A 24769-nucleotide genomic window follows, 5' to 3' on the forward strand; every position below is an offset into this window, starting at 1 on the left:
ATTAGATCACTGCCAGATCACTAAGCAGAATCCCCATTTTGGTACCCTGCTACCTGGATTCGATGCCCCCCACCCCCCCTACCCACAAAGAGAAGTAATACAGTTCTCTCTGATAATAACCGAATACACAGCAGGCTAGCAATCACTTTATTTCCTTTTTAAGTTCTCTCTTAATAGCAGTCCCTTTAATAGAAGGCTTTTGGCTGTCTCCTTCAAAAACCATAATCTCTGTACAATTTGGAACACTCCAGTTAATTAGAGATCTTTAAACTGTGCCAAGATACAGAAAGGACCAAGCTTTAAAAAATATTGTCTTCCACATGGATTGGTCTAAAAGCAGTATTTTAACCTAAGCTCTGAAATACAGTTTTACAGTAACTATTATCTTAGGGCAAATGAAAATTTTGAAAAAATGCATTTTGACTATGTGACATATTATTCAATTTCAGAGCTTCATAATATGCTCTCAGCTATGAATCTAATAATATCCTAGAACTTACATATAAATTTAAAATCAAATTTAAACCACTTATGTTTTCTTTGTAAAGATTTGTGTGTATGTATGTGTGCATGTGGTGTGTATTCTGGCAATAGTGGTATTAAATTTCTGAAGAGAATAAAAATGTGTTAAAAATATTATATAAGTAATCCGCTCAGAATTTTTCAAAATATATTAGAAAATAGAACCTCTATCTTCTAATTAAATATTGAGAATTAGCCATTACTGCCCAAATAAAAGTTGTGAAAATAGTTAAATACCAAACTACAAGTAAGATAGTTATGGAGGTAATATATTTACTATTTATTTTTATTTATTTATTTTTTTTGAGATGGGGTTTTGTTCTTGTTGCCCAGGCTGGAGTGCAATGGCGCGATCTCGGCTCACTGCAACCCCCGCTTCCCAGGTTCAAGTGATTCTCCTGCCTCAGCCTCCTGAGTAGCTGGGATTACAGGTGTCCGCTACCATGCCCGGCTAATTTTTTGTATTTTTATTAGAGATGCGGTTTCACCATGTTGGCCAGGCTGGTCTCGAACTCCTGACCTCAGGTCATCCACCTGCCTTGGCCTCCCAAAGTGCTGGGATTACAGGCGTGGCCACCGCGCCCAGCCATACATTTACTATTTAAACAGTTCTTAAAAACATATAAGACAACCTTTGAAAATCAAAGAAATTATTAAACAAATGCCATGAGTAGATACAGAATTCATTAAAGAGGAATTAACAATGGGTAAACAAACATGAAAAGGCACAGCTTCACTCATAATAAAAAACGCAAAATAAAATATCTCTGAAATTCACAGCAGCTTAATTCAGAAAACCCAAAAACTGGACGTAACCCAGATATATATCAACAGGAGAATCAATAAATAACTGGGTATATTCATGCAATGGAATACTACTAAACAATAAAATGGGGGAGGAAAATCTGCTGGTACATGAAACAATGTGGAAGAATCTCAAAAACATGCCAAGTGAAAAAATGTATATCTCAAAGCGTACATACTGTATCTGTCCATTTACATGGAGTTCTGGAGCTGCCTTTAGTAAACTGTGATTTTAAAAATTGAAAATGGTATTTGCCTCTGGGAAGGTGGGAGCAGGTATTGGGGGCAGGGTTTGATGGAAAGGGGTATGAGGCAACTTTTTGGCATAATGGTAACATCCTGTATTTTCTTGTAGGTTTATATTTTGTAGGGGTATGCATTTTTCAAAACCCATCAAACTGAGTACTTAAAATTTATGCGTTTCATTGTATTGAAACTTCTTCCCTAAAAAGGACCAGCAAGCAAACATTGAACTCTATTTAGGATATGCATACTAAAGTGTGTAGGGTGAAGTGTCCTATTGAATGCAACTTACTTTGAGATAAGTTAAAAACAATACACATTAATGCATATACAAAGGGATGAATAGATATCTAAATATGTGTTAAAGCAAATACAGCAAAATTTTAAAGTCTAGGTATGGGGTACATGGGTATTCATTGTACAAGTGCTTCAACTTTTCTGAATTTTTCAGTTTTTTCTTAGTAAATTGCTGACAAACAAACTCTGAAGTACCATTTTGCCTATTAAATGAGAATAATATTTTTAAAAATATAATAAGCCGAAAAATTTTTAAACCCACAATAATGGCCATGATGCCATGAAACAGATACTCCCTTGTCTATTGATATTTGATATTGATACTAAAATATCTAATGGATTTTTTTGGGAGACAATTTAGCAATTTCTATCCAAAGTCACCAAAATGGCCTACCTCATCTAATAATTCTATATATAATCTACACCAAGAAATAATCTCAAACATGGAGAACTCTGAATAAAAAAAGATATTCATTATAACATTACTATATAAGAATAAGTTAGAAACCTAACTGACCAAGAATAAATCAATAGATAAATTTGTATCTCTTGTTGTCACAGAAAATTTGAGGTTCTGGTAATAAAATTACGTACAATCAAATAGTAAAATAGATATAGAAATAATGACTGATGAGGGAAATGAAATTATGAAGTAAAATACATCTTGAAATGCCCTTGAAATATTACACATAGTTAAAAGGCATAGCTATGAAGACAACGAAGTTTCACTGAAAATGTCTGTGATGTGATAGGTACAAAGTAGACAAGTGTGTACATATACACCATAATTAGAGCTGTGTGAAAGTGGTACATGTCTGAAGCTGTTTGTAGTGGATGCTGTTGTGTACTGCCCAAATCTCACTTTCAGGACTGAGTCTTGCATTCCTCCAGCCTCACTGGAGTATGGTGGCTGACAGCTCTCAGATGAGTCAGTTTCTGAGAATGGCTCTCAGCCAGAGGGAATTGTGTTGATCAACGTCTAGATCCTTCCTGGGAAAAATTCTCATTGAATGCATGATTGAGGGCAGGGCCAGCTACATAATTTGCAAAGTCCAATGAAAAATGAAAATATGGGTCCTCTTACTCCAAAATTACCAGGAACTTCATGACAGTAATAGCAGAGCATTAAACTAAGCATGGAGCCCTTGTGAGTATAGGGGCCCTGTGTGATTGCATAGATCATATGCCAATAAAGCTGGCCCTATTCCAGTGAGGCATAAAGGGTCAGGCTTCTTGCCTGAAGCTGGAACAACTCTGAAGTCTTAGCCCAGCTCTAGAGCTCCCTGTGAGACAGGTCTTTCCTGTACAGTTCAACTTTTCTTTCTGCCCATTCCTACTTTCTTCACTCCCTTATAGGTGTTGATACCAGGGATTCCTCCCAACTACCTTTTGGCACACAAATCTCCAACTAAGAGTTTGCTTCCCCTGGAATCTTACATAACATCTATTGTTAATGCAAAATAAATGAGCATAAAATACAGGAAGAAAATACAGTAATTGTATAAGAATAATTTCTTTCTCTTCTGAATTTTAGTGTATATGCTTACATGACATTTAAAATAAAAATAAGTTCCAGTTTAAAAAATGATACTTTTAAGAAAATACACAAAAGAATTGAAAGCATAGATGCAAATAGATAATTGTACACCAATTTCATAGCAGCATTATCAACAATAGCCAAAAGGTGAAAACCACGTAAATATTCATCAACATATAAAATAATGAACCAAATGTCATATATACATATGCAATGGTATATTATTTAGCCTTAAAAAGGAATAAAATCCTGTCACATGCTACAACATGATGAATACTGAGGACATTATGCTAAGTGAAAGCCAGACACAAAAGGACAAATATTGTAGGATTTTACTTATATGAGGCACCCAGAATAGGCAAACTCATACAGACAGAAGGTATAATAGAAATTACCAGGGGCTGGTAGAAGGAATAGTGGGGATTATTGTCAAATACAGTTTCCATTTGGGATGACGAACAAATTCTGGAAATGGATAATGATGATGATTTGCACAACATTGGGAATATAATTATTGCCACTGAACTGCATGATTAAAAGTGTCAGAATGGTGTTAAAAGGATTCTGTTCCTGCTTACAATTTCGAAAGCAACAGTAGCATATCACTCCCACCCTAACAATGAGAAAAACCTGAATAATCTATAAAATCATAATTTTTTGGACCCACCAGAAAGCTGAAGTCACAAGGCAAACTGAGTCACAAAGTATACTGATTCAAAAGGGTAACAAGCTCCTCCAAGAAGAAATGGATCACATGAATTGCTTCAACTTTGGAAGAAGAGGTGGCACTTGTAAAAGCTGGTAAGCAGGACTGGATTTGAGCAAATGCGTGTGTGGGCATCATCCAATTGGTTGAGAGATTGATAGAACAAAAAGATTGGGAAAGGTTGGATTCCTAGCCCTGTCAGATCCTATTTCAAGTTTAGATATGTTCTTTGTCCTGGATGTTTTTGCACTCGTTTTTATCATTAAAGACATTACGTTAAAATATTACTCTGGATTCCTGAGATTTTTGGCACCCCTTTACATTTTGCAATGGAAACAAGTGCCTCACTCATCTCACCCCAGTTCGGGCCTTCCAGGGCACCTTTATAGAGAAACTGATTTTGTTCACCAAATAAAACGAAGCTAGTCTTTGCCCCAGCAGTTTGCTTTCCTAGGTAAGGAGAGATCAGATATAAAATGTAGATGTGCTCTGGATTTATTCTTGATTGAGGATTGCACCAGGCAGCAGCAACAAAACGATTTTGATTTGCTGAGTCTGAATCTAATTGATCCACACAGGTTTCCCTTTGCTCGCTATGCTTAGGTCTGGCCTGGCCCACTGGCTTCTGACAGGGTGGCTTTTATTTTGGAAGTGTGAGGACGCACTGGACGGTCGCCACATGGGGATTTCTGGTTGAACAGTTTTCAGAGAATGAAATCAGTTCCTTCGTGGTTTTCCTGGGAGCATTTCCTGAGCGCTAGAAAAGTTCGCCTTTCTAGGCCCAGATCGCACAAGGGGCAAGCAAAGCGTCAAAACAGCGCCCCCTGTCGGCCGCGAAGGCGTGGCGGCCCGCGGACCGGCGGACCCCGGGTCATACCAGCTGTCCGGGTGCACAGGCCCAGGGGCCCCACGACCGCGGGTGTCGGGACCGTGGGCTCCACTGAGGAGCCCACCGAATCCTTCGGCCTGGCCAGGCGGGGGGTCTTCTTCCCAGTCCGCGGAAGCCAGGTCCGGGAGACGGCGGGGCTCACTGTGCCTTCGGACCTACACTCTGCTCGGGGGCCGGATTTCTGCAAAGCGTCCACTTGGAAAGAAGTTTCACTTGCAGGGAAGGCGGGTGTACGCAATGATGGTCCGTGTGTCCGGGATGTGAATGCCAACCAAGACTGCGTCCGTTGGTGGAGTGTGCGCGGGTCCTCCGTGAGGGTGCTTCTGGCAGTCACAGTTCACGAGTTAGCGAGAAGATGGCTGGGAGGCGGCGAGCCCCCGCTCCCGGGGCGCGCATTTCGAACTCCATAGGTATGGGTGAGTTGGTTAGCATTGGATTCGAGTGCTTGTTCTTATCTGAGTACAGACACCTGGTAACCTTCGGGCCTGCAGAGGCCCCTGTGCTCCTTTGGAGGGCGCTGCAGGACGGGCTGGGTTGCATCCGGGCCTTTACCCCAGGTAGCCGGCAGCAAGTGAACTGGCCTGGATTGGCCGGCCCAGGGCACCTCCACACACAGAGCCCCGCGGCACAAGGCAGCTGTGCAAAACGGTCTCTAGAGGGGCTGCCCTCGCCCTGGTGAATGGGCAGGAAGGCGTGTGCATATGTGTGTGTGTGTATGTGTGTTCGGGCGCGCGTTGGGGTGCAGCCGGCCGGTCGTAGGCTGCGGTGAAAGGTGGCTTGTTATTCTGGGCACCGCAAAGGGTTTCACTTCCCCTGGGTGAGCCTTCTGGGGGTGCTGTCTTGGGCAGAGCGCCAGCCCCAGTGGTACCACTGCTGGGGAGCCCGCTGGGGTCCGAGTCCGCCCACTGTGGGGATGTTGTCTGCTCTTGCCGTTAGCCCCGCACGTTCTCTGCATTTCCCCTGGTCTCTCCCCTTTGATCTGGAGGCGCTGTTTCAACGGCTGTCAGTCTCTAGAAGGGTAAATTCGGTTCCGGTCATTCTTCCAGTGGGCCCTTATCCCTAATCCTCCCTCTCCTCTCGCCTGCTCCCTCGGAGGCGAGCTCCCTGTTTGGGGCCGTCACGGCGCCGCGGCGTACTCTGCGCGCGCGCGGAGAGGCCCACTTCGGTGGCAACCTGAGCTGGGTCCAACACTACGGTGTGTGCCCCTTGGGGAACAGTCCCTAAATCAGCGCAGGGCAGCAGGCGATCCCAAGGAGATGGGTTTGTCCAGGGGTTTGGCCTTCTAGAGAGGCATGAGGCACCCGCATCTACGTTCAGGTGAAGCTACGGAGCTCAGTCCCTACAGACAGCCGGAGCCTTGGGCTGTGTACCTGTCATTAAATGTTCCTGGGACTAGGAACGTGCAGAGCAAGTGTGTATGTGTGTGTGTGTGTGTGTGTGTGTGTGTGTGTGTGTCTGGGCTATTGAAATAACGACCTTGCCCCGGGAAAGATAACCCCAGCTGTCTAAGTGCCTAAGGAGGGAGACAGTGAGCCTGCCTTCTTCAGCCATATTGGGCAGAAAGCCTTCATGGTAGACTAGACCCACAGGATGGGACTAAGTGCCTTCAACCCCAAGCGGAACCCGGCACCCTCAGGCCTGGACATCTCTCTCTGCTCTGTGAAGCTTCCAAACCGTTTACATTCATGAATGCCTTCAAACTTGAAGGTACCCCACTGGGGCAATGAGGCCTAGATAGTGTCCAGTTACTTGCCTGAGGTTACACAGGAACAGAGGCAGCACAGGAAACCTGGCCTCTAGCCACTCTGCCACACCAACCTCTTGGGGAAGGGCCCCAAAAGACACGAGGAACCCTAGGAGACACTCTAGAGAGCCCCCTGAACAAACGCAGAGCTGTGTGGAGCCTGGAGTTTTAAATTCCTATGAAGAACAAAGCCAAGGCAGACTACAGGAGGGGCAACTGAATCCCCCACCCCCAGCTCCACATGTTGTTCTAGGCCCTGGGGAAGGGTGCGTGGAGAGATATTTCATGAGGAGGTGTGAAGGGATGGAAAGACTTGGAAAGGGGACCTGAAGCCTGAGGAGACTTGGGGACTCCTAGTTAGGAAGTGCCTTTGGAAAAGCTATGGAAAATGGGCGGAGCCCGAGACATCCTCTAAAGAGTCCGGGATAGATGGGAAGAAGGATCTAGGCTGGTGGGCATGGTAGGGAAGAAAGCAGGTATTTAGGGCAGAAGCTCTGTGCAGTAATGAGTACCATGCTTTCGCCTTTAGATCCAGGTGTGAACATACCGAAAACTTAGCTGTAGCTGGCCTGGCCCCACTCACTAGAAGGTGAGAGAAACCCCTAATATACCAGGTTACCTTAAACGACTGAAAAAAGCTGTGACAGTGACCCCAGCTGGGGATTAACTGACTTGCCTAAAGGCGGCATCATTTTACTTGTTACATAGAGCAAACAAAGGCTCCCAGAAGTTCTCCCGCTTGCTGGCTCTCAGTCTTGGTCCTGTGCCAGGCAGGCAGCCTCCAGGCAGCGCCATTCAGGTGAGACAGCTTGGAACCAGGGGCTCCTCTGCTCCCACTGCCCCTGGGACCAGGCAGCTCTGTGCCTCTGAAACCATGCATGGCTCCCGGTGAAGCAGTGCCCACAGGTGGACCCTGACCTCATGCCCTGTCCCCTGGGAGTCGCAGTGGCCACATCCTCAGGGGAAGAAGCAGATACCAGGGAGCCTGGCTGTTTATCCTGGGGAGGGGCAGGCAGGGACTCACAGCCTGCATTGAGTTTGCTTCCCCTCCACAGGTCTCCCGTGGAGAGCAGCCCAGACCCGGCCACACTCAGTGAGGAGGAAGTGCGCCTCCTGCTGGCTGCACTGGTGCAGGACTATGTGCAGATGAAGGCCAGTGAGCTGGAGCAGGAGCAGGAGACAGAGCTCCAGGTGAGGCTCCCCAAGCGCCCAGAACAGGGCCTCCTTTCCCCGCAGCATACCAAGAAGGCGGATCCCAAGAGGTAGGAGAGAGCACACTGGCAAGGGGTCCAGCAAGCTGATTTGTTCAGGAGGACTTGGAGCCCAGCCTTTCTCAGGCTCCAGGGGAGACAGAGGTCCCAGTGCAGCTGGAAGGACTGTGGTTAGACACAATAAAAAGCTCCGTTTTTGAAAGCTGTTAGGAAGTGAAATGCGAAGATGTGGAATCGCTCACTGTGAGAATTGCTCTTGCAACAATAGCTCTCATTAGATGGGATAATTGTGAAATACATGTACTTTGTTTAGTGCTGACTATGAGCTGGTTACAGTTGTAAATAGTTGACTGATGATTTTGATCCTCACAACAATCTGTGAGGAAACTAAAACAAGTACGGTTAAGTAATTTGTTAAAAGTCATAAACTAGTAAATGGTAAAGCTGAGCTTTAAAATCCGGGTAGTTTGGCTCCACACTCCATTTTCTTAACTAGTATTTCTACTGCTTCTAGTTAGTGAGTGTGTGAAGACCTAGCATGGGGGCTGGAATACAGTAGGTGCCCTAATGTGTTAGGAGGTTTTAGACTTGCTGTTTCTTACACTTTCTCCTTCCGTTTCAGTCAGTTCGATTTCTGATGGCTGGTTCTCCCCATTCCTTCCCTTTCTAAGGTGGAGAGTAGATCTCAGGTAGAGCAGCTGATCACCAGCAGATGGCAACAAAGACTGTCCAGATAAGAGCTAAGAGCTCTTTACAATGTGATGAATTAGTAGTTCATTTGTAAAAAAGAAAACTGAAATAGAACTCATGGAAATGTTTCTCATTTCTGAATAACCAAATACACAGGAAACTAAGTAAAATCCTTAGGCTTAATTGATGTTGAAATGCCCTGAGAACATTTGTTGACATCCAGAGTGATATTGAAAAGAACTGATTGAGGATAGTGAACATCTTCATTGTGTTTGTAAACTCAGGAGGAATGCTCATTCAATATGATGTTAACAGTGGGATTTTTCATAAGTATCTTTGTTCAGAATAAGAACATTCTTTTCATTCTAGTTTTCTGAGAGTTTGTATCAAGAAGGTTCTTAAGTTTTATCAAATGTCTTTTTAAAATCTATGTAGATGATCATATGGTGTTTCTCTTTTATTCTGTTAATGTGGTGAATACATTGAGTTTTGGAGGTAAAACCAATATTATATTCCTAAAATAAACACCATTTGGTCATGATCATCATTCTTTTCCACATTGATGATTTTTGATTTACTTTTCTTGTTTGTTTAGGATTACTACATCTATATTTATGACATATATTTGCTTGTATTTTGCCTTCCTGGTGATGTCCTTATAACTTTTTGTGGGATTCTACTAGTTTCATTAAATGAATTCGGAAATGTTGCTTCTTTCTTTTTTCTCTGAAAAATTTCTGTTTGATTAATTATATTTCTTCCTTCTTGGAGCTTCCTTTGTGAGAGAGATTTAAGTTATATATTTAAGTCTTTATCAGATACAGAACTATTCAGATTTTCCATTTCCTCTTGTGCAAATTTTGGTAGCTTGTCTTATATAAGAAACTTGTATATTTTATCAAAATTGTCAAAATTATTGGCACAAAATATTCATAATATTCACTTATTTTCTTTTAATGTCTTTAGGATCGCTAGTGGTATAACACTTTTTATTCTGGATACTGGTAATATGTATTTTCTCTCTTTTTATCTTGCTCAGTTTTGCTAGGGGATTGTGAATTGTATTAATCTTCTCAAAGAACCAGCTTTTGGCTTTGTTGATTTTCTCTCTGCTATTTCATTAATTTCTACTGTTATTATTTTATTTTTCTCCTTTTTTAGATTTAATTTATGTCCTTTTCTTCTATCTTCTTTGGATGGAGGCTGAGGTAACTGATTCCCAACGTTTTGTTTTTTCAAATATATGTATTTAAAGCTATAATAACTTTTTAAAATAATGGTTTTTAACTGCAGCCCACAAATTTTGATGTCATATTTTAATTTCAATATTTCAATTGAAAAATATTTAAATTAAAAATGTTTTTTATTTTCTTTATGACTGCTTCTTTGATACATGGGTTATTTAGGTATATACTGCTAAATTTCCAAATATTTTTCTGTTATTGATTACAAATTTATTTTCACAACGGTTAGATAAATACTCTCAATGATTCCAGTTCTTGGAAATTTATTGAGAATTGCTTTATGATTAGCATATGATCTATTTTGGTAAATGTTCCACTTATCCTTCAAAGATTGCATATTTTGGAGGTGTTGAATGTAACATTGTATATAGGTTGATTGGGTCAAGATGCTTAATTGTGTTGTTAAAATCTCATTGACACTGTTTTTTTTTTTTTTTTTGAGACGGAGTTTCACTCTTGTTGCCCAGGCTGGAGTGCAATGGCGTGATCTTGGCTCACCACAACCTCTACCTCCTGGGTTCAAGTGATTCTCCTGCCTCAGCTTCCCAAATAGCTTGGATTACAGGCATGAGCCACCACGCCTGGCTAATTTTTGTATTTTTAGTAGAGATGGGGTTTCTCCATGTTGGTCAGGCTGGTCTCAAACTCTCGACCTCAGGTGATCCACTTGCCTTGGCCTCCCAAAGTGCTGGGATTACAGACTTGAGCCACCATGCCCAGCCATACCATGTATTTTTTTTTAACTGCTTTTTCTATCAGCTACTGAGAGAGATAAGTTGAATTATACAATTACATACATTTGTCTAGTTCTCCTTCGGGTTCTTTATTTCTGTTGTATATATTTTGAAACTATGCTATTAGGTGTATTTAAAATTTAGGATTTTTTTTTTCTTACTGTTTCAGGTCTTGAAATGTTCTTTATCACTAGTAATACTATGTATCTTAAAGTCTGCTTATTTGATATTATATAGCCACGCTATGTATATTATGTTAGTGTTTTTATAGTATATCTTCCCCATTTTCTAACTTTCATATTTATAAACAACATATAGTTAGCATTTTTAAAGACAGCCCGACCATTTTCTTCCTTAATTGGAGTGCTTAATCCTTGTACATTTAATATAATTTCTGATATAGTTGGGTTTGTCTTCTACCTTCTATTTATTTTGCTTTAGTCCCATCTGGCCTGTTTCTTTATTTTTTTTTCTTGTTTTCTTTTGTACAAACTAAGTGTTTTGTTCATTTTTTCAGTCTTTCTTTTCCTTTCTTTCTTTTTGCTTTTCCTTAATTGTAGTAGTGACTTTGTCAAAACTTGCCAAACTATAAATTTAAATGCATTTAATTTTATGTAAATTATACATCAATAAAGTTGATTTTAAGAAAAGATAATAAAAGAATAAAATAGAATACATAAAGGAAAGGAAGAAAATTTAAATTTCTTTCATATGTTTAATTAAAAATATATCCCTTTCCATTATCTATTTCTCTTTATACACTCTCCATTGTGTTTATTCACTAATGTATTACTTCTACTTTAATGTCCATTTCCAAAATATTTTTTCTTTTATTTCTAATGCTTTCCTTGGTTTTGTAAGCTCCATTTTCATATCTTCCTGCTCTCTTTTCTCCAATAATATTATTTCTGAGTTATTTTGATCCTAATTTAAGTTGTTCTTTTGATCCTAATTTATATTGCTCTTTTGAAACTTTTATTATTTTCTTAATTTCTTTTACCTTGTTTGTTTAGAATATTAGCATATAGTTTTTCCTATTTTGTGGGCATGTCTTTCTGGCTTGTTTTCATTGCTTGCAAGAATATTTTTCTGATAATAATTTTGAGGTTTCACTAATTTTATTTCTGTTGCTTGTATTTTAGTAAGACAAGTTTTCCTGTACTAGAAGGGAAGACAGCCGGTGTAGCTTTCCTAGCCTAAAGGTTCTAGAGCATCTTCTTCTGCAGTTTATTTGAAGTGTTAAAAAATACTGTGCTCTCTGAAATGGGCTGACTCTTCTTTCCTTTTCTTTGCTCCTTTTGTTCCTGCTCAGTACAGGGGCTTTGTCCTATAACTAAGATTTGGGCCCGGAATCCAGATCACCCCAGCATTCTCTGACTTAATATTGTCCCCTTGCACTCCCTTGCAAATTTTAGTCTACAAAGCTCCTCCCAGTTTTGATTGATATTTTCCGGAAGAATATACCTGCAATACATATAAAAACAAAGCATTCCTAGTAATATCCAAGTCATATATAATAAATAAGGAAAAGAAGACTACCCAATAGAATAATGTATACAGGTTACAAACAGGCAATCTATAAAGGAGGAAACCTGAATGTGAGATAAACATATGGAAGGGTGCTTCATCTCACACATAGTTGGAAATGCTTAATCTCACCCATGATTGGAAACATATGGAAAGGTGCTTCATCTCACTCATAATTGGAAATAGAGTTTCATCTGATTTAGCACTAAAAACATTATAATTATCTCATATAATAATTACCAAATTAAAAAAAGGAATCAAATCTTGGCTTCTTTTAAAATAATTCTGAAAAAAGAAAGCCGGAAAATAAATCTGATGACAAGAGAAAATTGCATCTCTAGTGCTCTTTCTCTCTCTCTGATTTCTGGGCCCTTGCTTATACTATTCCCACATCTCAGAATATTCTTTATCCATCTTTTAATCTAGCTAATTCCTACTCATCCTTCAGCTTTTATTTTAACTATCATCTCTTTCAGGAAACATCTTACTACCTTAGCTAAGATAAATGCCCTTACTATCTTATAAGATACGTAAAAGATGTATGTCCTTGGCATTTTATACTACCATAGCATTTTCCAAATATAAAAAAATACAAAAATGATGTCAGTTTTATACATTACCTTGGCTAGGCTATAGTACCCAGTTATTTAATCAAACACAAATCTAGATCTTTCTGTGAAAGTATTTTGTAGATGTGATTAACTTGTATAATCAGTTGACTATGTAAAAGAGACTATTTTCCATAAGCTGAGTGGGCTTGATTCAAGTACAGCCGTCCCTTGAAATCCATGGGAGATGTGTTCCAGGACCCCTAGTGAATACTAAAATCCATGGATGCTGCAAGTCCCTGATATAGAATGACATAGCATTTGCATATAACCTATGCATATACTCCCATATACTTTAGATAATCTCTAGATCACTTATAATATCTAATACAATGTAAATGCTGTGTAAATAGTTGTTACACTCTATAGTGTAGGGAATAATGACAGGGAAAAAAGTCTGTACATGTTCAGTAGAGCTGCAATATTTTTCCCAAATATTTTCAACCTGCTGTTGGTTGAATTGATGGATATGGAACCCAGGGATACGAAGGACTGACTGTAGTTGAAAGGCTTTAAAAGCAGAACTGAAGTTTGCCTGAGGAAGAAGAAATTTCACCTTTGTACTGTAGTTTCAGTTCTTGCCGGAGAGTTTCCAGATTTCTCCTCCTGATGGCCTGTTCTGTGGATTTTGGATTTGCCAAGGCAGCCCTCACAATCCGGTAAGCCAATTCCTTGCTGTAAATCTCTTTATATCCATATATATGGATATGTCCATTTATAGCTATATATACATACATATACACATATACATATATATATATGCATGACAGAGCCTGTAGAATAAATAAAATATTCTAAAATTATCTAAATAAAATTATATATTATATATGCTTTAATTTTATTTATTCTACTGGTTCTCTGTCTCTGATGGAACCCTATCTGATACAATTACTATACCAGATTATATAATTACCTATTTTCTTTCACATCAGACAGTAAATACCATTAAAGCAGAAATGCTGTCTTGTTGATCTTTGTATTTCTAGTGCTTAGAATATACTATATGCTCTAGCTGACCTTCTGGAAAAAAAAGGAATATAGTATATGCTCAAAAAAAATGTTGAATAACAAATCAATTTCCTACTGAGATTGAAGAATATAAGTGGCCTAATATGAAAAATCCTCAATATAGCTGTGGGAGACCCTGCTTAGTGCACTATAGGATTGGAGAAGGAATGGGCTAAGAGACTGCTAGATGCTTCTAGTAAGTTCTTTGGAATACCAGATAGTAACAATTCACTCCTTAGAGAAATCATCCATTTGGTAAGTCACTAGAATATCCATTAAGTTTTCACAGTTGTCACAAACATTGAAAAAAGTAAGCTGATTCTAGGAGTTAGTAATTTCTGTACTAAAAAAGAAGGTCCAACAGAATACTACTTGCATAGTTTAGTGGCAATAAACTTTGATATTTAAAGGAAATGTAAATGTTAATATATCAAGTGGCCCATAATTGCATACTCTAGGAGTCTGATTCCATTTTTAAATTTCAGTGAAAACATGAAAACAGAATTTCAACTGATTCAGCACAAAAGATTACAATAACCTAATATGATCATTGGAAAAGAATGAATCAGAATCTTGGCTTCTATTGAAGAACAGACATTACCTTGTAGGTATCCCCCGCCACAAAAAAGCCAGAAAAAATCTGATGACAATAGAGAATGACGTAAAAAATTTTTTAATGCTAAAGATTGAACTGTAAAAAACTCTCCTGAATTGTGCCCTAAACCTATGTGTTCCAAAAAAAGTTTGAAGGCTTATTCCATCTGCATCATCTGGGTACTTGTAAAGACATATACATATCCCCAGGCTCCATCCTATGCCAACCAAATCACCAGGGGTCAGGTCTGAGTATTAAATATTTACCAGGAGATTCTGACGCACAACGACTTTTGGGAAGTAGCACTCAACTGTCAGTGCTTATGTCATATCCTTTCTTTCCTTCATCTCATTGGTCAAGGTCAGGTTTCTGCAGGAAGCTCTCTGTGTTTTTTTTTTTTTACCTGCTGGCAAATTTCTGCGGTTCCTTTTGTTTACTAACTCCCTTATCTTAATATGGCATTTAATCAGAGTATGTTAGTTTATGAAACCATGAAATTGGGTTTGGAAAATAGTGGAGAAAAGTAAAACAATATTTAATTTCTTCCCATATTGGATCTTTAGATCCTGCTTTGCTACATTAGTTCAGGCATTCTCTCACATAGAACAACAGGCATATTAATATTCAAATGCAAATCTGAATGTAACCCACATCACTGGCAAGAAAGATCCTAGCATGTAGTTTCCTGGGAAGATATCATAGCTCACTTGGATTAAACAACAGCTAAGGATTTTCCAACTGATAAGCTTGATATAATAAAGTTCCTGACCTAATGCTTTAGGTTTAATTAACAGTACCACTTTAGGCTTAGAACAAAGGTCTAATCCTCAGGATCCAAAGTTCAAATCCCAGTTGTACTATTAAATGGGATTTTAGGAAATTTGCTTCACTTTTTCACATCTAGATTTTCTGATTAGTAAAATGAAGATACAGTATGTCATACTGAAACAATAACAATAGCTAATAGTCATTAGACGCTATGCTAAATGGAAGGCAAGTGGGAAAACAAAATGAATTGTTTCTCATCCATTGAAGAAATATTGGCAAGGTGTGGTGCCTCATGCCTGTAATCCCAGTGCTTTGGGAGGCTGAAGGAGGAAATTGTTTGAGGCCAGGATTTCGAGACCAGCCTGGTCAACATAGCAAGACCCCTGTCTTAACAAAAAATATATACAAAATTAACCTGATTTGGTGTGGGCACTTGTAGTTCCAGCTACTCAGGAGGTTGAGGTGGGAGGAAGTATTGGATCACCTGAGGCCACTGCACTCCAGCCTGGGTGACAGAGCAAGATGCAAGACCCTGTCTCTTAAAAAAAATAAAAAGAAAGAAGGAAGGAAGGAAGGAAGGAAAGAAAGAAGACATGAAAGCAAAAGAAAAGAAAAGAAAAAAGAGAGAAATTGGAGACCATGCAACTACCACAACTTTTAGTCATCGTACGGATTAGCCTGATGAGTATATCCACAGGAAAAAATGTGTAGTTCTGGTAAAATATTTTTTTTCAGAATCAGATAAAAGGAAAACAATAAAATGTGGATATCCTTGTTTTAAAAAATCAACAATATCATTATATTGAGATCTATCTATCTGGATCAAAGAAGGTATTTTTTGGCTGTGGCAGATTGCATTTTTCCAGTAGTGGCTGCAATAATATTTCCCATCCTGCAAGTTTTTTGAGAACCTTGACAAATTCTCATCAACTGACTGAGTTTATATTCTCTCCTCTTGAACTTGCATAGACCTTTGTGACTAGTTCAATTAATGCACTATGAGACTTCTGAGGCTAGGTCACTAAAGACAGTATAGCTTCTGCCTAGCTCTGTCTTTCAGAATTCTTGCCCTTGGAATCCAAGTATCATTCCATGAGGAAGCCCAAGCCACATGGAGAGACTCGTTCAGAAAGAAACCAAGTTTCCTAGCCCTCCACTCCAGCTGACTTTCCAACTGATCACCAGGACCAACCAGTTGAATGAGCCTTCTTGGAAGTGGATTTTCTGGCCCTTAGCCAAGGCAGATACAAGCATTTCCCACCAAGCCCTGCCCAAGTTGCAGATTTCTGAGCTAGAGGAATGATTGTTTTGTTTTATGCCACATAGTTGAAGAGTGGTATGTTATGTAGCAAAAGATTACCAGAACATTGCCTAATTTTCTAGAGCATGTATACATTAATACCACATGTCAGCATTTCTTTAATTACCCCATGGAGTGTTAGGATGGAGTAACTGGGCATCCAATTCAACTGCAGAATGTTATTCAGAGCAGTGCTAGAACTCCTGCTTGAAATTTATATAGCGGGTATGTTAGTATTTTTGTGTGGCTATAACAAACTACCACAGACTGGGTAACTTTAAAACAATAGGAATTTATTTCTCACAGTTCTGGAGGTCGGAAAGTCCAAGATCAAGGCAACTGCATGTTTGGTGTTTGGTGAGGGCTGCTCTCTGCTTCCAAGATGACACCTTGTTGCTGCATCCTCCACAAGGGACAAACTGTATCTTCACATGATGGAAGGGAGGGAAGGGATGATCTGGTGCTCTCAAGCCAGTTCTTTTATAAGGCATTGATCTATTCATAAGGGCAGAGCCCTCATGGCCTAAACACTTCCTAAAGATCCCATCTTTTAATGCTTACACTGGGGATTTAGTTTCAACATAAATTTTGGAGGGGACATAAACATTCAAACCATTGCAGTGGGTACATTTTCTTAAGTTGGAAAAAAATTTGTAGATGAATGTTAATTACAGTCCTATTTTTAATATCAAGAAAGAAAGACAAAGAAGGAAATGAAAATGGAAACTAAGTGATCACTAATAGGTGAAAAAGATATGGTATATCTATACAAGGAATGCTATACAGGCGCTAAAAAGAAGACAAAGATGTAAATGTACTGACCTACATTTTATGGGAAAAACACAAAATGACATGTATAGGAAGATCCCATTTGTGGTAAAATATATAAAAGATATTCCATTTATGTAGTTGTATAAGGAGAAAGATTTCTGGAAGGAGACGAGTAATGATACTTTTGGGGTATGGGAATGTGGAATTGAATTGGGAAATAGGAACTTATATTTCCTTTTCTATATTATCTGTATTTTTCAATTTCTTTATTTGAGTATAGGTTTTATAATAAAAAATGCTTTTTAAATGCATCAAAATTGTACAGATTTCCTATAAACTATCAGAATTAACTTTAAAAAGGAAAAAGATACCCTGAGGGGCATCTGGAAATATTAGATATGCATTTGACCTCTCTGGATGATCATATTTGTGTATGACAGCTGTCCCACACAGAGCTATGCACTCCAATGCGTTTGATGTCAGGCAGCCATGGATTTAATCTGGAATAGTAAAACTCTTTAAGAAAAAGTAAGCAATTTGATCAAGGCTGTTCCACCATAAGAATCTGAAGTACTCCAGGTGAGGTGGCTCATGCCTGTAATCCCAGCAGTTTGGAGGCTAAGGTGAAAGGATTGCCTGAGCCTAGGAGTTTGAAACCAGCCTGGGCAACATGGTGAGACTTCGTCTCTACAAAAAAATTAAAAAAAATTATCCAGGCGTGGTGGTACACGCCTATAGTCCCAGCTACTTGGGAGGCTGAAGTGGGAGTTATGCTTGAGCCCAGAAGGTTGAGGCTGCCATGAGCTATGATTGCACCACTGCACTCCAGCATGGGCGACAGAGTGAGACCCTGTCTCAAAAACAAATAGACAAAAGGATCTGAAGAACCATAAATAAAAGGATAAAATAGCTTTAACCTTTAACTTTCCCATAATAATGCTAAGTGTTCCACAGACAACATGGTTACTTACCTTATTTTTCAACTTGCTCTAAAATAAAATACATTGTCATAGTAACTGGGACAACCCTATATGTTACAGAGAGGAACAGTGTTGGGTATGACCCCATGGTCATTTACTTTACCCAACATTTTAGGACTCTCATATCAGTTCACTGGTGAATTGCTGGAGCTAAGGGTAAAAGTACTCTGATTTTCTAAACACACGTCAGCTAAGCATTAGGTTAGGTGGCCAGGGTGGAGATAGGTGGTGAGAAAAAGCAGTAATAAAGAATGAAATTTGCCTTATTGTAACTCAGATGGAAATACCATTGATAATTAATTATTTGTAATATTATCAAAACAAGCATCTCAGTATAGCTTTGATGTTTTCATGTTATTATATTATGTTTCATGATAGGAAAGTTTTGATTTGAGATTAAACAATCACTATGAAGAAACTTTCATGAAAAATAAAAGCCAAAGCAGGGAGCATGCTAACAATTATCCCCAAACCAGTAATCAATGAAATAGACAGAAAGCCACAGTGTTCAATTAGCCTTATGCAATCTCAAGATATTAAACTTTCAGTGCATCCAATCTTCCTGCTCCCCCGATCTGAGCTCCAAGAGCATGCATTCGTATGGTTGACAAGCCTGTGTTAAGCCCCCTGTGCCACGTATTTTGCCTGACATTAAGGACAGAGAGGTAAAGGATGCTCTCCTTGCCCTCTGAGAGCTTGAACTCATATCATTATGTGGTTCATATCAAGTTATGTTATGGCTTGTAGTAAATATGTCTTATAGAAAGGCTTGGGTCTTACTCATATTTGTTCACTGTCTCTACCACAGTTATCAACTGTAACCACAGCAAAAGGTTTAAATACTGATATGGTTTAGATTTGTATCCCTGCCCAAAACTCATGTTGAATTGTAATACCCAGTGTTGGTGGTAGGACCTGGTGGGAGGTGATTGGATCATTGGATCATGGGGGCAGTTACTCATGAATGGTTTAACACCATCCGCCTTGGTACTGTTGTCACAACAGTGAATGAGTTCTCATGACATCTAGTTGTTTAAAAGCATGTAGCACTTCCTTCCCCTCTCTCTTGCTCCTGCTCTCACCATGTGAGATGCCTTACCCTTTGCCTTCTGCCATGATTGGAAGCTTCCTGAGGCCTCCCCCGAAGCAGAAGCTGCTATGCTTCCTGTAATGCCTGCAGAACCGTGAGCTAATTAAACCCCTTTTCTTATAATTACCAAGTTTTAGGTATTTCTTTATAGCAAGGCAAAAATGGACTAATACAAATGGTAATTTTCTTTCCAAAATATGGTCAGGGAATAAAAAGAAAAATGAGAATAGATGAAAAAGAATCAGAATTGTTGGACAAAAGAAGGCACTGATGTTTCCTGATTGCCTGCCACATGCCAAACTTTGTGCTAGGGGTTTTGTATGTGTTCTTTTGTTGAATCCTTCTTCCAATCCTGTGAGGCAGAAAGGAAGCTAAGACTTATAGAAGCTTTACAGAGGTCTAACATCTTCATTTGTTCTCTTCCATTCTCCCCATTGCAGCTGGGTTGTCTGGTCTGATCATTGATTTAACAGCCATCCATAGTTCACCATTACCCTGGGAATAAAGTTCAAAACGCTACACTGACTTTTAAGGAGCAATGGGACCTGGTACTTTCCTACGTCTCCAGCCTCATTTCTTGCCTTGCTTTCTCTTGCTCTCTTCTCTGTAGACATAGAACATTTACTTCAGTTTCTTGAGCACATTATGCCCTCTTTCATATCCTGGCCTTCCCACAGGCTGTTTTCTCTGCTTGGAATGCTTTTCCTTCCTGTCTTCTCAATAATGTTGAATGAATGAATAAATGAAAGGATACTGGAGAGAGTAAGGGTAGGAACCTGTTCAGGGGAAAGACTAGGCATAGATAAAGGGATTAGAGAGTTAATCATAAACCTGTGATAATAGACGCATTCTTTAAGGTTTAAGCTGGTCAAAGATGACCAGATCTTGGTTTCTTCTCTTTTATTAGCTGCTTCTCCTCCTTCGAACCTCACCATTGGTGCCACTTCCTCTAGGAAGCTTCTCTCACCCCCACAATGGTTAAATCCTCTTGCTGTATGCCCCACAGCTCTATGTATTTTTTGTCTATAACGCTTATCACAACAGACTAAAGCTGCTTGAGGACAGGGCCTTGTCTTTCTTGTTTGCTTCTCTATCCCCAGCACAGAGCAGTTGTTCTAAATATATTTGATCATTTGAATTATGAACAGTTAGGAACACATAGTTGGTTTGTGTTTCTCATTGGTTTTGTTGTTGTAGTTTTTGGACCATTAGTTTCTTTCATGCAGTGTTATCAGTGGTTAGCAATTTTAGAAATTCCCATTCTTCCAGAGTGAGTGCAACTGGTTAGGGAGTGGGGCTATTCTCAAATACAAAATGATACTCTCTAATTTATAACATAATTAAAAAGCAACTATTCTGAGTTTTCTAAATGTCCCTCTGGGCACAGACGCTGGGGACACATGTTTATTTTCCATTCTTTTACCTCAGCTCCCTCCCCTTTTTCCTTTGCCTGACTAATTCCTATATATTATGTCTCGGCAGAACCGTAACTTCAGACAGCATGCATCTAGACTATGTAGGTGGCAGTGGCATCTTAATGCGAGGCACAAGAGTACTTGACATATGATAGCTAGATAAATGATGTTGAATGAATGAGTGAGTGAGTGAGTAAATGAAGGGATGTTGTGGGGGAGATTCAGGGTAGGATCTTGTCAGGGGAAAGGTCAAGAGGAAAAAGTTAGGGAATTAATCACAAAGCTATAATAATAACTGTGTTCTTTGACATTAATCTATAATAATAGCTGTGTTCTTTGATGACTGCTATCAAAAGATGCAGCACATCTAGCACCCAGAACTTAAATCATAATTTTATATTTATATATTGTATATTATTCTCCAATAAAAGGAAGCAGGAATCCCTGGATAAATGGATGACTCTAAGGCTGGGGTAGGGAAAATACAAAGTAAATTTGGAGCATCTTATAGTGCCAGAAAGTAAGGAAGTGCTCAAGTGCCTCTAAATATGGGCTGCATTTACTGACTCTCATGTGACAAACAGTATATGGAAAAGGAAAAAATAGTAATTTTGGTAACAGGAAAAGCTGGCAGACACTACCTTAACCAAGTGATCAAGATTAACATCACCAGTGATAAATATTAATAAACATCGTGAACTTCTCTATATGAGGCAATGAGAAAGACACCTTGCTTCTGGGACTTTTCCCCAAGATCTATAACCTCAAGCTAATCATGAGAAAACATCACTCAAATTTGGAACAGTCTAAAAAATACCTGACCAGTGTATTCCAAAGTGTCAAGGTCATGAAAAACAAGGAAAGACTGAGAAACTGTTAAAGACTCAGGGGAGACTAAGGAGACGTGACAACTAAATTGCAACATAGTATACTGGAAAGAAAAAGGACATTAGTGGAAAAACTGGCAAAATCTGAATACATTCTGTAGTTTGTTAATATTACTCTGTACCAGTGTTAATTTCTTAGTTTTGATAAAGGATCATGGTGAAGGGTATATGGGAACTCTGTATTATCTTTGCAACTCTCCTGTAAATAGAAATTTATTTTAAAATTTTAAAAAAAAGTTTTTTTTTCCTTTTTTTTTTTTTTGCCATGCAAGGCTTGGCTGCAGGATTTGTTTGTGAAGAATACTAATGCATGGAGTAGCGAAGCTTGTCTGATTTGGGATTCATGAAATCTTGGCCCTCTAGCAGTGCATATATGCTACCTTTTTCTGCATAGCTTTTTTGATTTTTATGGAAGGATTTCACATCCTTAAATTCCTTTGACCTTCTCCATCAAGAGGAAGGATAGGAAATGAAGTACATTAGTTGCTGTGGGACTAGAGTAAGCTTCTTCCAGGACCTTAGGATAAAATGAATAATCTCACATATAGTGTTCAAGATTAGGCATCTGTGGAAATGAAAGTGTGGTCTCTGAAAGAGACTGATCTAAAAGAAGACTGTGACATAATTAACACACTAAGGGAAGAGTCTGACAACGGTGGCAACCAAGTCCAGAAAAAGAATAGCCAAACACTATATATTTGTTAGCTTATTTCTAGCAGAGCCCAGGGGAAAGCAGACCCTAGCAGTCTCTCATAGACTTAACCAACAGGATCTTCCCTTTGGTAGAGATCAATGCCTCAGACTATTGCAACTCCTTTGTTCTGATTCTACTCTCCCTAAACAAATTATTAAGCACAAAAAAAGGAAGGTGAGCATGTATTTGCTTATCATTGTGCTAGGTAATTTAAATGCTTTATGTTTTTAAATTATCTCAAGACACTATGAAGTTGGCATTCTTGTCCCTTAATTTACATGTGCAAATCAGAGAGAGTTAAGAAAACACACTTGATTACACAGTAAGTGGCAGAGCTGGGATTCAAACCCAGATGATTCAATGCCTTGGCTCACGCTGTTCCTACACCCAGATGGTAAGTTCAGTCCTCCCTTGGTATACATGGAGGATTGGTTCCAGGAATCCCCGGGTATACTGAAATCCACGCATACTCAGTTTCCGAAGCCCGGAACCCGAGTATACAAAAAGTCTGCCCTCTGTATACACAGGTTTCACATCCCGAGAACACTTCATTTTCAATCTGTGTCTGGTTTGGTTGAAAAAAGCCCACATATAAGTGGACCTGTGCAGTTCACACCCATGTTGTTCAAGGGTCAACTGTACAGAAGAAACGCCCTTCAGCCCCACTGTGCTCTTTAGCCATCCTGCCGGATAGGGACTCCTGGCAAAACTGATCTTTGGGATTGCATTGTGGAAAGTGCCTGGTTTAGAAGCAGGAAATCCTACTTTCCTTAGGAAGACAAGCTCTGGAGTGAATCAACAACAGGGTGACTCCCTGACATTTGTTTCCCCCTTCTGTTGGGAGGTATCTTGATTTTTGTTTGGGCATTAATCCTGCCTAGCCCAAGTACTTTGGTTGAGGCTGATCCCATCCCTGGCACTTGGGGCAGGAAATGTGATTCAGACTAGTGTGACCCTATTTTATAGCCCCAGATTTTGGTTATAGGATGGGTGTGTAAGTGAAATTGGGTCAAGGAACACAAAGATTTGTTTGCTGGGAGCTCTGGGCTTTTCTAAGAGGTTTTCAGAAACATTCTTTCCTGTCTTCTGGAATATGAATGATGTCGTGCTGGACCCCTATTTAGTCCAACAGTGATGGCACCATGTCCAAGAGGCTGAAGAAGACACTGGAACTAGCACACTTGACGTAGGGTTTATTGGGGACTTAGATACAGGGCCATCCAAGAGAGGGGAGCTGGACAGAAAAACCGCTCCCATTAGTAAGAAGTGTGCAGGTTATATAGCATTTTCACGTAGCAGCTTCTACCTAGCAACCCCCAGCTAGCAACCCCCATTTAACCCAAAACAAAGGGCCTCAATTCCCTGAATTCCAAGGAATGGGTCAGGGGGCTTTGGATGTCCTTTAGAGATAAGGAGTGAACTGGATTTCTCAGAACCCTGAACACACATTCTTATTAGACCATAAGGTCATTCTCAGGGTATGCTTGAGCTATTGCTGTCAGGTGCATCTGCCCTACAAATGGGAAAGTGTGCAGCACAGGGGTGTGGATAAGGAAGCTGCCTGCTGCTAATTTTACTTTGCCACAGTGATATGTGGATCAAAGAAATCAAAATAAATGAAACGTTTGGTGTTCCCACCCTACCTTATGAGCTCATAGATCCATTTTATTATTAACTCAGTTTGAATTGGATTTTTTCCTATTTACAACTGAAATAATCTTACAGACAACTTCCAAACTAATTTTTCTGAAAGTTAGCCAGTGAGTAAGGTAATCACATAATTATTCAGATTAAGAGTATTTTGAGAAAGCAGTGGGAACCATTAATAACTGTCCTGGGCAAACTGAGATGTGTGGACACTCAACTCGTGAGGCATGAGCTGGTTGCAATTCTGCCTGTGGATAAGCTTCGAAACTCTGAGCAATTAATTTTAGATCTCTGGATATCAATTTTTCTATGTGTAAGATGAAATATGAAATTCTGTGAGTTTAGGTTATTTCTCTCCAGTCTATACTATTCTGCACTCCCTTCTGCAGTAAGAGTCTGAAGGCCAAAATGTTCTGTCGAGTAGATATAACAACAACAACAACAGCAGCAACAACAACAACAATAATAATGAAAGTCAACCACTGCAGCAGTAATGCATCACAAACCACCACAGAAATCTCAGTAGCTTTCAACAACAGTGATTTTTATTGCTGATAAATCTGCATATATGTTGTGGTTTGTCTGACCTCAGCTGCGCTGACTTGGCCAGGCTGAGTTCAGAATGCTCCATGTGTTTCCATTCCTGTATCCAGGCTGAAGAAACAATGACCATTTGGGGCATACTCTTCTCATGGCAGAGGGAGGAAGCTCCAAGAGGTCCGAAAAGAACCAAGCACATTTAAAACCTTTCTGACATGACATATGTTATATCCACTCACATTCCCTTGACCAAAGCAAGTTGTATGGCCACGCTCAATGTTAACCATGAGCATGACCATATGCTACTCCAAGAAAAAG

At 39.5% G+C, this 24769-nt stretch overlaps 1 pseudogene, besides 3 other annotated features; it reads left to right on the forward strand.

Moving 5' to 3' along the window:
* Positions 5668 to 5767: an enhancer, noted in NCBI's record as "active region_4476". NCBI's record gives its function as "activates an Ori minimal core promoter by ATAC-STARR-seq in GM12878 lymphoblastoid cells {active_cell/tissue: GM12878}" and the evidence as "EXISTENCE:reporter gene assay evidence [ECO:0000049][PMID:35858748]".
* Positions 5948 to 6057: an enhancer, noted in NCBI's record as "active region_4477". NCBI's record gives its function as "activates an Ori minimal core promoter by ATAC-STARR-seq in GM12878 lymphoblastoid cells {active_cell/tissue: GM12878}" and the evidence as "EXISTENCE:reporter gene assay evidence [ECO:0000049][PMID:35858748]".
* Positions 7438 to 7938, forward strand: CALCP (calcitonin pseudogene; annotated as a pseudogene).
* Positions 7700 to 8199: an enhancer, noted in NCBI's record as "H3K4me1 hESC enhancer chr11:14929307-14929806 (GRCh37/hg19 assembly coordinates)". NCBI's record gives its function as "activates a minimal SCP1, AML or CMV promoter by ChIP-STARR-seq in naive H9 embryonic stem cells {active_cell/tissue: H9 hESC(naive)}" and the evidence as "EXISTENCE:reporter gene assay evidence [ECO:0000049][PMID:30033119]".

This window comes from Homo sapiens, chromosome 11 (genome assembly GCF_000001405.40).
Source record: "Homo sapiens chromosome 11, GRCh38.p14 Primary Assembly".
NCBI lineage: Eukaryota > Metazoa > Chordata > Mammalia > Primates > Hominidae > Homo > Homo sapiens.